The sequence below is a fragment of the Homo sapiens genome, chromosome 16 (genome assembly GCF_000001405.40).
Source record: "Homo sapiens chromosome 16, GRCh38.p14 Primary Assembly".
NCBI classification, from domain to species: domain Eukaryota; kingdom Metazoa; phylum Chordata; class Mammalia; order Primates; family Hominidae; genus Homo; species Homo sapiens.
The window spans coordinates 61,588,382-61,602,700 of NC_000016.10; the positions used below are offsets into that span (position 1 = coordinate 61,588,382).

A 14,319-nucleotide genomic window follows, 5' to 3' on the forward strand; every position below is an offset into this window, starting at 1 on the left:
TGTATCAAAAACATCTAAAATTTCCTCAGATTTTCAGGTCTTGATATTGATCTGGACATTTAGAAAATTGTAGACTCTAGGCAGAATGGTGAGACCTTACCAACAGTTCTGCTTGTCTTTATTATTTTTAATCAGTGATATAGGATAACAAAGATGTTTCATGGATTTTTATTCTACTAACATGATTCTGATTCTTGTTGATGATAAAAGGAATATTTACTTATGTTTCATCTTACTGCATTAGTCTTATCTTTCTCGGTGAACAACAATGTCTTAAAAGTAATTCCTCCAAAAATTTTAACTCTAGTTTTTTTCTAAATGCCTACAGTTTCACTAGAAATATTATTCACCAACCCTACCATCATCCCATTATATAAAAATATACACCTGCTAAATGATAGTGTTAAGACCTTTCTTAATACATTTGTGTCAGGGTCATTGGAGCTATGGTCTTTTGCTAATATTTAGAGGGGATTAATCATAATAATTATAGAGTACAAAGTGAATAGTGTTTTTATCTGATTTAATAATGGCAAAGTGAAAAGTTTTTCTGTCATTCTAAGTATTGTTTATTTTACATTAGGCAAAAATACCAACAAAAAAAGAGAAACAGCACTTATTAAGCATATACAGCATATCAGATGCTGTGAGATATGTTAAATACAGTATTTCTAATTTGCACTGTTGAATCAAAGGAGTTGACACTCAAGAAATTGAATCAATATCTTGAAATCAAAGCAAAATTTTAATTCGCATCTCTTGAATTACAAGTCATGCACCTTCTCTTGAACTCTTACAGATTACTTCCATATTGAAAATCATTTAAAAATCATAAGGTATGATTATTAAAGGTATAAATGAAAAAATAAATTGTGATGTAGAATGGAGGTGGGCCCCTGAAATTCTATATAACTTCTAAGTTTCGTCAGACCAGTTATTTGATGCAAACTTTCTTTATAACTGAAACTATAAAAGATCTATGTCAGAGAAAATAGAACATGTAGCTTAAGTGGGAGTATGAAGAAGCAGAGAGAAAGATAATCCCTGAAAGTAGTGTAATGGTAATATGAAAAACCAGGTTGCACGCATAAGCTCATTTCTGCCTGTAGGAACGGAAGAATACGTTATTAAAGCAAGTTAAAATTGTTTAGATTGGCTCCCAGTAAATAGTTTTTACTACAGTTGCATGATAACAATTTCAAGACATCCTTGACATTATATGCAGAGGAGGTGGCTAAACTTAGAAAAAATGAGTGGGAATCAGGAGTTAGGAAAGTAGGGTCACAATATATAAAAAGTAAATAATTAACAAAGGGATAGTGGATTCAATTCTTATCCAGACATAAAATTATGAACTGATGGTCTGCTGACCCAGAGAAGTGATATGAGTGGCTAAGAAGTAATGGCATGGTGGGGAGACATTCCAGTTGTAGGAGGGAGAGAAACTAGCCCATGACTTCAGTGTAGGAGAACAGTATCAAATGTAGAACCAGATAGAACTAGGATTCCTGTCACTGTTTACTCACATAAATTCAAGGCTCCCCAAAATAAACAACCAAAGTTGTTTCAGTAATAGCAAATGTAAATGCCATTAAATGAGTCTACTATTGCCAAATTTGGCTGTATTTTGCTAAGTCTGGGATTGCATTCAGTCCTTTTCATGTTCCCTTTATGCTCATAAATACCCTTTGAAGTATAAATTATTATTCTCGTCTTATAAATGAACACACTTTCCCCAGAGCTATACAGACAATAATTGTCAGAAGCAAGATTCAAACCCACATCTTTGTGACTTTCCATCTCTTCCCTTGACTATTAATGCCAACTCCCTTTCTTACCAAATCTCTAATAAAGACAACAGAACATTTTGTAGATATAAATTGAATTCAAATCCCAATATCTGCACAGGAATCAAGATCCTTAAAGCATAGGAGACATGGGCACAAGTTGTCAAGATGGAAAATGTGGGAATGTTTAGGAAAATCAGCCATAATACTGTTTGAGGATATTTTTGTTATTATTATTACTAATATTTATCTTCTATCTACACATTGGGCCCAGGAAAAAGAGATTGGGAATATATGGGATTATTTTATATATGGATTGCAGGAAATCAATAAATCCTGAATACCTATGATAGTTCAAGTGCTGGAGTGTTTGCTTTGTAATTACATGTATTTAATCCACTGAGAATTATGAACTCTCATGCCATTTCATAGATGAGGAAACTAGGATTCAAAGACACTTAGTTCAAGGTCCCACTTCTTCTTCAAGGAAAACTAGGACATTCTGTTTTCTAAGCCTAAGCTCTTTCTACAACTGGGGCTCATTAGCTAGGATAAGGACAAGGACAGCAGGGAGTTGTGCCGATGGCTGAATCATTGTACTGCCCCCCTGTTGCTAGTGTGACAGTCACTGGAAATTGTTTGTAGGCTTTGGAGGAGTGGAAAAAGGCCATGACAAGATAATTAGAACCTGTCTGATAAATGTTGATCCCAGAATTCTAAGAACCTAGCAATTCCAACCATCCACCTTGGCTCTTTGAATATATTTATGGCATTTTTGTTTTGGGAAGCACAATATAAACAGGTGAGGGCAATAATAATATAATTAAAAATAAATTGTCATTAAATCATCATCAGATGGGTCAGATACCCAATGAGAAGTTGGAAATAGATTGAGCTATACATAATTATCACCACAAATACATACAAAAACAGAATGCAAGATTTGAGTCTAAAAGGAGGGGATGAATTTTAAAATATTTCAACAATGGAAAAGTTGGTCTGACTCTAAGATTTATAAAAATGTGAAGGAGGGTGATATCAGAGGTGTCTGAACCAGAGCAACTCCATCTTGAATAGGGGAAGGGTAAAATAAGGCTAAGACCAACTGGGCTGTACTCCCAGACAGGCATTCTAAGTCACAGGATGAAACGGGAGGTCAGCACAAGATACTGGTCATAAAGGCCTTGTTGGTAAAACAGGTTTCAGTAAAGAAGCCAGCTAAAACCCAGCAAAACCAAGATGGTGACAAGAGTGACCTCTTGCCATCCTCAATGCTACACTCCCACCAGCGCCATGACAGTTTACAAATGCCATGGCAACATTGGAAGTTACCCTATATGGTCTAAAAAGGGGAGGCATAAATAATCTACCTCTTGTTTAGTATATAATCAAGAAAGAACCATAAAAACGGGCAACCCTATGGAGTAGCCATTCTTTATTCCTTTACTTTCTTAATAAACTTGCTTTCACTTTATGGACTCGCCTCAAATTCTTTCTTGTGTGCGATCCAAGTACCCTCTCTTGGGGTCTGGACCTGGACCCCTTTCCAGTAACAGTTATAGTCACATATGAGGAAGTGGACACCACCTGTTTGGGTCTTTCTGCCCTTTCTACATGGGAATATTGTAAATATCTTGTTTTCATGTCAGGTACACTACAAATGTAGAAGAAATTATAAACTGTTTTTTTCTGTTATCTTTGAATAATAAAATTCTATAATTAACTCCTCTAGTTTTTAGTCCATGCCTACAATGAAACATTGTATTATGTTTTGGGCTACATATTAGTAAACTAACAGTAAAACATAAAGAAAGTACAGGTTATTTTAAGTGAACTTTTCAGAAAGCCAAAGTCACTGTTTGGTATTACATATATAATAATCTCCAAGCTTTACAGTTACCATGAATCATGCAGTCACTGAGACTGCATTTCTGAAGTTCATCACCATGATGATGGTGAACTATAAGTATATGCTATCCAGATGAAATGGCCTTTGCAAAATTGTAAAAGTGAGAGAAAGCTAATACAGTTAAGCGCATCTTGTTTCTAACCTCATAAGCTTACTGCCTGTGTTCAGACCTGCATGTAGGTCAAGCTAACTATGGAAAGAATATATAGCTAAAGCAAGGATGATCGTCTTCTTGAAACTAACTCCCTCCTTGTTTTGGTAGGGACCAAAACTACTTTTTGTAAGGCTAATAAAAGGCCACAAGGTTAGAATTATGATAGTGGCCTGAACTTTGTTAAATAGGCACATTGCTTGTTTAGCTTTCTTTCTATAGTCCTTACCACCGTGGAGTCATGTAACCAGATGTCCTAAGATTTGTAACTATACCAACTGCTCCTATAGATAATACCACTATTGTGAAACCTGAAGAACTGGTATTAAGATATTTTTTCAGATTTAGAATATTGGCAGACTAAGGGATGCCACCTGGATCTGTGACCCACACTAGGCTACTGACTCAACTGATCCTGTGACCCCAGGAACTGATTCAGCTGCAGGAAGACCATTTCAAGAACCCTGTGATTTCATCCCCAGCCAATCAATTGTCTCAGTACCCCCAGGCTCCTATTAAAGCACCCTTAAAAACTCTAGCCTCTGAATTCTCAGGGAGGTAGGTTTGAGAAATACCTCCCATCTCTTCACATGCCTGGCCCTGTGATTATTAAACTCTTTCTCTGCTGCAACTCCTGCTGCTCTTGGCGTATTGGCATTTCCAGGCAGTGGGCAAAAAGAATCTGTTAGAAAATTATACAGAGGACTCTTGCCTGGAAGCTATTAGAAGACTCCTGAGTGGGGCCTGGTCCACCATGTTGCAGCATTTCTTTTTTTTTTTTTTATTCTCACAAAAACATGTAATACTGATAAATGTGCCTAATGTTCTTAACCCCAAGTTTTTGATATGCTTCATGTAACCTAGCCTTCACCTCTGCAATGAGGAAGAATAGTGTTTAGCATCGGTAACAATATCTTTAAAGTCTCTTTTACAAACCCAGGATATAAATGTGTCTAAATAAACTAGTGACAAACTTTTTTTTCTATTCTTTCATTTTTTCTCCATTTCTAGAGCAGTTGGACATTTTTTCCCCACAGGGATGTGACCCTGGTGGTAGGTAGGTAGGTAGGTAGGTAGGTAAAGCTAAAGAACCAGCCCTACAAGTTCTAAAGTTTCAAACTGTTGGCTGGGCACAGTGGCTCATGCCTGTAATCCCAGCACTTTGGGAGTCTGAGCAGGCCGATTACTTGAGGTCAGGAGTTCGAGACCAGCCTGGCCAACATGGTGAAACCTCACCTCTACTAAAAATACAAAAATTAGCCAGGTATGGTGGCATATGCCTTTAATTCCAGCTACTCACGAGGCTGAGGGATGAGAATTGCTTGAACCCTGGAGGCGGTGGTTGCAGTGAGCTGAGATAGTGCTACTGCACTCCAGCCTGGGAAACAGAGGAAGACTGTATAAAAAAAAAATTCAAACTCTTAAGAACACTAACGAATTTCACATTTCCACATTTAGCAGAGAAAGCTTAGGATCCATGCTAGTATCTGGGTAGTTAGTATTCAGAATTATCTTGGATAGAGAACAGAGAGAAAATTAAATTATTAAACTTATCTCACTAATTAGTGTCTCGTAACCTGTGTCTTATTTGATCAAGATTATCAAAGCCCAAAGAGGACTTTGCAAGTAAAAAGGAGGTAACCTCAATTATGCAAGTTTTCCCTCGGTGTAACAGCCAATGTCCAAACAAGAAAAATTATACTACTCTGAATTTCTAAAACAGAGATAAATAATGGAGGAAAATATTTACTCCGTTGAAAGTACCTTCACAAAAATTATGACACTGTAAACAATTTGATATAGGAAAATTACGAACATGAAACAAATCTGACCTAATGGAGTCTATCTTGCTTCTAAACTCCAAGCTGCCCTTATTGATTCCTGAGCATAAGTCAAGCTAACTTTGGGAGGAATTTAGTTTATAGATTAACTTTAAAACAAAAATGATAACAGCCTTTTCCAGAAACAAGCCTCCTCCTTCTTTGAAGACCAACTAAACTGTCTTTGGAAAACAGCTAAGCCACTATATTAGAAACTATGGCACAGGAGTCATATAGCCAGAAACCACAATATTCCTAACCTTCCCAATTGCTCTTATAGATAACATCAGTATTGTCAAAGCTAAGTTTTATGTTTGAGATATTTTTCAGACTCTCCAATCTGATGGACCAGCTGACAGCACCCAGACCAATAAACTGGCTCAACTAGTTTTGTGATTCCGCCCAGAAACTGAAAATACCAGGAAGACAGCTTCAGCTCCCTTCAACTAATCCCCAACCCAATCAATTAGTATTCCCCATTCCCTAGCCATTCACTCACTAAATTATTCTTAAAAATCTCTAGTCTCTAAATTTTACGGAGGCTAATTTGAGTAGTAAACTCCAGTATTCTGCTTAGCTGACTCTGTGTTTATTAATCTCTTTCTCTATTGCAATACTGCTTTCTCAGTAAATTGGCTGTATCTGGGTAGTGGGCAAGAAGAACTCATTGGGTAATTATACAGTTGATGAAACTTACAAAGCCAAATTGGAGACGATCGGTGTGTAAGATTCTAGCAACAGAAGGCAGCTTCTATTATTCCAAGATTAAAAGAAAATAAAAAGAAGTGTATTAGCACACCAGTGGAAAATGACCAGGTGGGTCATTCAGTGGGAATGAGAGCCATGGAGAAAATGTGCTACTGCTACAGAAGCTTGTTGATGAAGACAAGAGAGATAAAGACCCTGGCTTTTTATTTTCTAAATTTCTAAATTTTAAATAGATGTTTTATTTATGAATAAATTTATATTTACAGAAAAGTTTAAAGATAGTATGAATGGATCCCACCTAATCTTCACCCAGTTTCCCCTGATGCTAACAAATATGGTACATTAGTATTAACTCATCTTCAGACTTTATTTTGATTTCACCAGTTTCCCACTAATGTTCTCTTACTGTTTCAGGATCCAGAGGAGGCTATCACAGTGCATATAGTCTTTATTTACTTTTGTTTTCACTTCTCCTGATTGAGATTTCCAGTGATTGAAACCAGGCAGAGACCAGCTGATGGAAGAGTTTGGAAATTGGAAAATGAAGCCTGTAGAGATAAATTCACCTATAATGAAGAGGAGAGGACGGGACATAACTCTAAGGATAAACAGGCATAAGATTACTACATCAAGTTACACTCTTTCATTTTTTGAAGTTTTAGATAGACCATACTTACACCACTAAAGCCACACCTGCATTATTAATCATCAGTACAACAGCCTTGAAAGTTAGGTGTCACTGTACTCAGGTCACAGAACCACTAATAAATACAAAATAAAACAGTCAGAATTTAACCACAAGTTTATTTGGCACTTCCCAGTTGTTATGTTGAAGTTCTGAAATTAGTATAATTGTTCCTTCACACTATAACCAGACATCAAATTTCATAGGCCGTACTAAATATATTATTGTTCTATTACTATAATTACATTTAGATAAATTCCTGCAATTCTCAGATACCTAGTTCATTCACCTACAAAATGAGAGGAACTTCCTGTGACCTTAAAGTTCTTACTTCAAACAGAGATAAAGCCTGTCCAAATTATGTTTATCTTTCAACAGCGTCCAAAGTTCAACTAGGAGTTGACGTTTTCACCATCTGTCCTGCTGGGTGAAGTGATTATATACCATGCTCATACAGATAGTCTTGAATGGCTCACCTTGGTCATTCAAGATGTATATATCAAAAGTGAATTTGACCCTTTTGCAAAAGAAGAAGCAAAAATGTAAACATGTTATGGGATCATGAAGCTTAATTTATTTGTTAACTTACCCAAAATGTGCTAGCATCACATTGATTCTCTGCATTCAAATAATCATCTACTGGATCAAAGCCATCAGGACAGCAGTAATGGAAAAAGGCAGAGATAAGTAGAAGGGACTGCTTTGTCTGTGGTTAACCACATACTGTATTTTTGCTGTTCTGTATCCATTTTTGTTGAATCCAATAAAGTTTTCATTTTTAGTGCCCAAGCCTTGAAATTGTTATGTTTGTTGCAAGCAAACCACAAAGCACTGAAATCAATTCCCATAGCTTGAGAGACATGACATTTTTATGTATAGACTTTTCAAATGTTTAATGGGCCAAGGTGGTGACTTAAAATCTCATCTTCATTACATCTCCCCCAACCCTTTCTTGTAATCATCATGTAAAATAGACAAAAACCAATGAGGAAAATATAGTAATGAATAACAACGCTACATTGAATGGGTTCCAGGTCAACCTCCAGGACTGCTGGTAAAGTTTTCAAATCCCATACAAGTCATTAGAGGTGTCACTGAGTGTCAAGGGTCACAGGTCCTAGAATACATTAGTTGCCTACTTCCTTCCACTTTCTCATAACATTCCAATTTAGTCCAGATATTTTTCCCTCCCAAGCAGTTCAGCCTTTCTTTAAAGCGGTTCAACCTTATTATTTGAAGTCAATTATGATATTCTTACATGCTCTGACAGTGACTGGTTTAGTCACATACATGGACACAATTTTCCCCAATGAGAAAACATGACAGAGACTCTGGAAAAAGGGATTTTACTCAGTACAAAGCTGCTTTTCTTCCACTTGGATTTGTCAGATCTGGATATGACAACTATGATTGCTGCATCCCTCTTGAAATCATGAAGGCAGCCCGCCAAAGATCAACACAGAATGGCAGATGAGAAAAATGTGAAGACTGTATCTGCAATGATGCTTTCAGTATCTTAATTCACAAGATGTAAGAGAGCCCTAGAGTTGGATGAATGTGAACATAAATATTTTTGATCTTTATGTTTCATAGACTTTGAATTTCTGGTTGGTTGTGGTTGGTACTTTATTGCATAATGCAAAGAAAGGCATCTAATACAGTGTCTGACACATAGTAAGCTTTTAATAAGTCTTGGTGCTCTTCCCTGTTTTCCTTACTGGACACCAGGCTACTCCAGGCCAGGTCATATCATTACTGGACCTTACAAGAGTAATCAAAATTGTGTGTTTGAATAAATGTCCGGGAATTTGGATTGCAGAGATATAAGAAATGAAATATATATTCGAAGGGAGCTTTACTTCTTTCTGCCAGGGAAAGAGGAACTCATTTCTAGAAGTTTCTCTTCATTAACTGTGAGGCTTCAACATCAACACAGAATGTAAGAAAAGGAGAGGAAACAAAGCAAATCACACAAAACTTCCAAAGAAGGCAATGAAAAAGAGAAAGGACACACTGCCTCAATAAGAATGACAATTACAGGAAATTTATTATGTGCAATTACCTGTTCCCTGCTTACAGACACTAGTCTGAGAGCATCTCCATTTATTCCCACTTACTAATGTCAGAACTGTAATTTTCACTTGTCCTCTTCCCTTCCTTCATGAATGACCTCTTTTGCCTGACTGTTGACTTCCCTCTCCCTGTTGTTCCACTAATGGCATTCTATAGAATATCTTGACAGAGATGTTTGGCATGACTGGAAGGCTAGTAGAGTAGACTCACTGTGATTTCCAATCTCTCTTAGGAGCAATTTGCTCCTCAACCTTCCATGGACATGACCAGCCCAGGTCAGTACTTATTGCCTTGCTCTAAGTGGAGACACAGTTCTGTTTTCTGGTCTAGTGTCATTATTGGAATTGGATGTCTAATCCAGAGGATGGACCGCTGTTATTTGTCATAAACAAAGACCCTCTTGTTTGAGAGACTCAATTTTGTTGATGATTTACTGCACTGACTTTGAATACCAAATTTCTAGCTATGTTCCAAAGTACTAGTATAGTTTGTGAAAAGACATGTCACAATGGTGGCCAAACAGGGGCACAATGAACAGAATTTGCCTGTTTCCAAAGCAACAAGGAGTGTTGTTACTTCTTTTAGCCCTTTGTGTGTAATTACATGCACAAATAGTTTAACTGACCCATTCTCCATTTTTGAAGGTTGATGAATTTAACTGATTAGATTCTAGAATAGTAAAAATGGCTTTGGAAGAAATGTTAAGTAATGACATGGGACTGGCAAAACATTTTGTTAGGCCACTTTTCCTAATATTTTCTGTTGGAGGTGTTTGGTGATTTTAATATAAGTTCTCAGAAGAAATATCTTGCTGTGTATGCCCTCCCTCCTGTGTTTGACTATCTCTGTCTTCATTTTAAAATTGGATGCAATGTTTATGTCTTACCTGGAGAAAATTTTCTGGGAGATTGTTTCAACCTCTGCACACAACTGAGGAATTTAGAAATATAGGTATCTGTGGCTGTAGCTCAGAACGTTTTCTGGGGAAACCTGAAAGTAAGAGATTTTAATATCTGTAGTCAGACAAATTTAGGTAAAAAATCTGGATCAGATTTTTTAATAATCTACAAAATTCAGATTATTCGCTGAATAAACTTAAGCAAGAGTCACAATTTCAAATACCCCTGTCCCTGTATTCTAGGTTACAAATCTAACTATCCTAAAGTTTATTATTAGAAGTAAATTGCTTAATCAGACTCTGGCACTCATGATAGTGGACATTCAAAATATGTTACATATAAAAGACCCTTAAGTTAAAGTCGAAAAAGTTCTGGGAAAGCTTTCCAAGTAATTTATATTTTTCTTGGAAGGAATCAGTGGGGAAAAGGTATATACAGAGGATACCTTTCTAAACTATAAGCTATAAGAAAAATAATTATTAAAAATTATAAAAGTACACTTATAATTATCTCCTAATCTACTGAGTATTAATATATGGAAGAGCCACCTCTTTGGATAAAATGAGTTTGAAAGCAGGAGGACTAACAATTTTTACGCTGAGGTTCTGGGTATCATCTAGGTGTATTGCATGCACAATTGTGTGAGCCTTTTTAGATAATATAGCATGTACATGTTGTTAAATGTTATATGTACAATGAGTACTATTTTTGCATAATTACCTTTGGAACTTTTAATTAAATATATATACATGTATTTTGAGACAGAGTCTTGCTCTGTTGCCCAGGCTGGAGTGCAGTGGCACTATCCAGGCTCACTTCAACCTCTGCCTCCCAGGTTCAAGCAATTCTCCTGCCTCAGCCCCCAGATTAGCTGGGATTACAGGCACGTACCACCATGCCTGACTAATTTTTGTATTTTTAGTAGAGAGGGGGTTTCACCACTTTGGACAGGCTGGTCTTGAACTCCTGACCTCAGGTTATCCATCCGCCTCAGCCTGCCAAAGTGCTGTGATTACAGATGTGAACAACTGCACTTGCCAACTTTTATTTAAGTATAATTTTAATACAGTAAAATTTATTGTTTTAAGTTTTGACAAATACAATTGTAAAACGTCACGATATAAAACAGTTTCAGTAGCCCCCCAATTTCCTCTTGCTTTCCTTTGAGGTCAACACCCTCCTTCCCCCACCATTAATCACTGTTTTGTGCCGTTATCTTTTGCTGCTTCTCAGAATTTCATAAAAATGGAGTTTACACTGTGTAGCCTTTGTATCTGGCTTTTTTCTTGTAGGACAATGAACATGAGATTCATCCATGCTATTTCCTGTGACTGTTGGTTTTTTATTTTTATTTAATTTTAATAGTAGAGTAGCATTCCATTGTATGGATATTCTGTCTGTTGAAGGATATTAGGGTTGTTTTCAATTTTGGACAATTGTGAATAAAGCCATTATAAATAATTGGATAGAGATTTCTGTGTAAACATTTGCTTTTATTTTACTTTGGTAAGTGCCTAAGAGTGGAAATGCCAGGTGATTAGTAATTGTATGAAAGATGCTGTCATTATTAATTTTATATCAACTTGGCTGGGTCATGGTGCCCAGATATGTGGTCAAAACCTGTCCTGGATGTTTCTGTGAGCCTGAAATCAACATTTAAATCAGTGGACTTTCAGTGGATTGTCTTCCATAATGTAATTTGTCTTCTTCCAATCAGTTGAAGGCCTGAGTAAAACAAAAGACTACTCTCCCCAGAGCAAAGGATAATTAATTATTCAGCAGATGACCTTCAGACTCGAACTTCAATATTGGCTCTTTCCTGAGATTTTAGCCTGATGGCCTTTGGATTTGAGCTGTAGCACATTCTCTTTTCTGGTTCTGCAGCCTACCAGCCCACCCTGCAGATTTTGGACTTGCCAGCCTCCATAATTGCCTGAGCCAATGCTTTAAATCATTTTCTCCATACATACACATTCTTTTGGTTATATTTCTCTGAAGAACTCTGACTTATACAGTTGCTGTACCACTGTGTATTACTATGCACATATAGTGTAGAGAATTCCAGTTGTACCATATCCTTGTCGGCACTTGGTATTATCAGTGTGTTTTGTTTCTAAAGCAAACTATTACAAAATATATGTAATGGTATCTTATTGTGGTTATGGCTAGTTTACAACCCTGCATATTATAGAATTATAATTCATTATAAAGCAATAATACTGAATATAAATACGTTAAACTTTTATAGCATTGAGTAGTTTACCAAGTATGTTCACTGTATTATAGTATTCATTCTTACAGGTCAATGGCACTAGGTAATTGATTTTTATTTTATTTTATTTTATTTATTTTATTTTTTGCAATAGGATCTTGCTGTGTCTCCCAGGTTAGAGTACAGTGGCATCATCATGGCTCACTGCAACCTCAAACTACTTGGGCTCAAGCATTCTCCCACCTCAGTCTCCCAAGTAGCTTGGATTACAGGCACATACCACCACGCCCAGATAGTTTTTTTTTTTAATTTTTTAGATATGAGCTCTTGCTATGTTGCTCAGGCTGGTGACAATTCATCTTTTTATCCCTAGGACAAAAGTGTGCTTTGTTGTTAGAAGTTGCTTAAGACTTTCGTGTGGAGTGAACAACACAGTTAGTAGGTACAATTATTAGTCCTATTCTATAGATGACTACACATGAGTTTATAGATTTCATGTCCCTTACCAAAGTTGAGATAACAAGTTATAGAACTAGGAATCAAACTTTATTTTCTTCTCTCCAAAGACTATAGTTTGCACTCTTGGTACTAAACCACACTCTGTGCTGTAATATTTATAGCGAAGCTCACATCAGTTATCATGTATTATCTATCAGATCATTAAAGTCTAGAATGTCTTGATTTTTCTTTTTAAAATAAAAGGCATATAACAAGTTTCTCTCTTTAACATTTAAGACAGGTGCAGAATGTAAGAATGATTTCCGGGAGAGTAACCATGATAGCTACATCACCAGATGAAATAAATTTTCAGCTCCATTATAATCTTATGAGGCCACCATCCTACATGTGGCCTGTCATTGACCACAACATTGTTATATGGTGCATGACTATACGTATAAAGTTTCATTGTGATACCCTATCTCTATATAAATGTCATTGTAATACTCCAAAAATTGAATGGTGCTAATTTTCCAGTAGTCCCATTCCTATAAACAGTGAGTGACCATAGTGAACTGAATAAGCTCCTCCACATACTACTTAGAAGGAATAACGTATCAAGTTGTTTCTCCTGCCACGCAAGAGCTGCATACGACTGACTGCCACCTGGACCCTGTTGTTATGAGCATTTTGTAAAGTTCTCAAGGTCTGAGCAATGTTTTTTGTTATCTGAAGGATGTATCAAAACTGAAGCAGACATGTTCCCCATGGGGTGCTTATCTAAGGAGGCTTTGGATAAAATTGAGGCTGTGCAGGTGTGTGTGTGTGTGTGTGTGTGTGTGTGTGTGTGAGTGAACTGGGCAGTTGGGGAAACATGGTGCAGTCTTTGTGTATTTGTATGACTGTGTCAAAGTTGTTCTGATAAAGTACATACACTAGAATTATTTGAGCCTAGAAGGCTGGGGTATCAAGAGCAAAACAGATATTGTAGAAATATATATGAAGGAAAAAATACGTGAACCTGATAAATCACTACGAAAGCCAGTTCAGCTGGGATCTAATTATTCACCAAGGCAATTTCCAGAGCAGAGAGGATTATCCCAAGCACGCTTCCCATAGAAATTTCAACTAAAAAGCTTAGAATGGATACAGAAGTAGACAGTAGACTCAGTATGAAACATGATGAAGGTTAATAAAACCACTTTCAGAGCAATATGGAGTTATTATGTATCAAGGATTCTAAAAATGTCATAGTCCTAACCTAGTAAATTCTTTTTAAGACAGCTATATAAATAAATTACCATATACAGTATGAAAAATACATATATAAACACAGAACCAGAAAGGACTAATTTATGATAATATACTCATAACACAGACAATGGAGCAAGCATCTATTATTGGATGTTTTAGTTAACTAAATTTTGGTAAATTTAGTATATAAAATATTATAGTAGTGTATATGTTTTGTTTATGTTAAAATATCATAAAGCCATTCCAAATATTATTTATATATTAGATTAAGAGTTTAGAATAAAGCATTATATAATGCATGTGTTAATAATCAGCTATGTTAGAACTATGCATAATGTTATATGTATTAAAAGAAAACACTGATCTCAACTTTGGTTTACTAA

General features: G+C 36.2%; 2 annotated features.

The window, feature by feature from the left end:
• Positions 4,137 to 4,309: a silencer, noted in NCBI's record as "fragment chr16:61626422-61626594 (GRCh37/hg19 assembly coordinates)". NCBI's record gives its function as "represses an EF-1alpha promoter that drives an FKBP-Casp9 reporter gene in an ReSE screen in K562 erythroleukemia cells {active_cell/tissue: K562}" and the evidence as "EXISTENCE:reporter gene assay evidence [ECO:0000049][PMID:32094911]".
• Positions 7,284 to 7,578: an enhancer, noted in NCBI's record as "tiled region #11181; HepG2 Activating DNase matched - State 9:DNaseU". NCBI's record gives its function as "activates a minimal TATA promoter and a strong SV40 promoter by Sharpr-MPRA in HepG2 cells {active_cell/tissue: HepG2}" and the evidence as "EXISTENCE:reporter gene assay evidence [ECO:0000049][PMID:27701403]".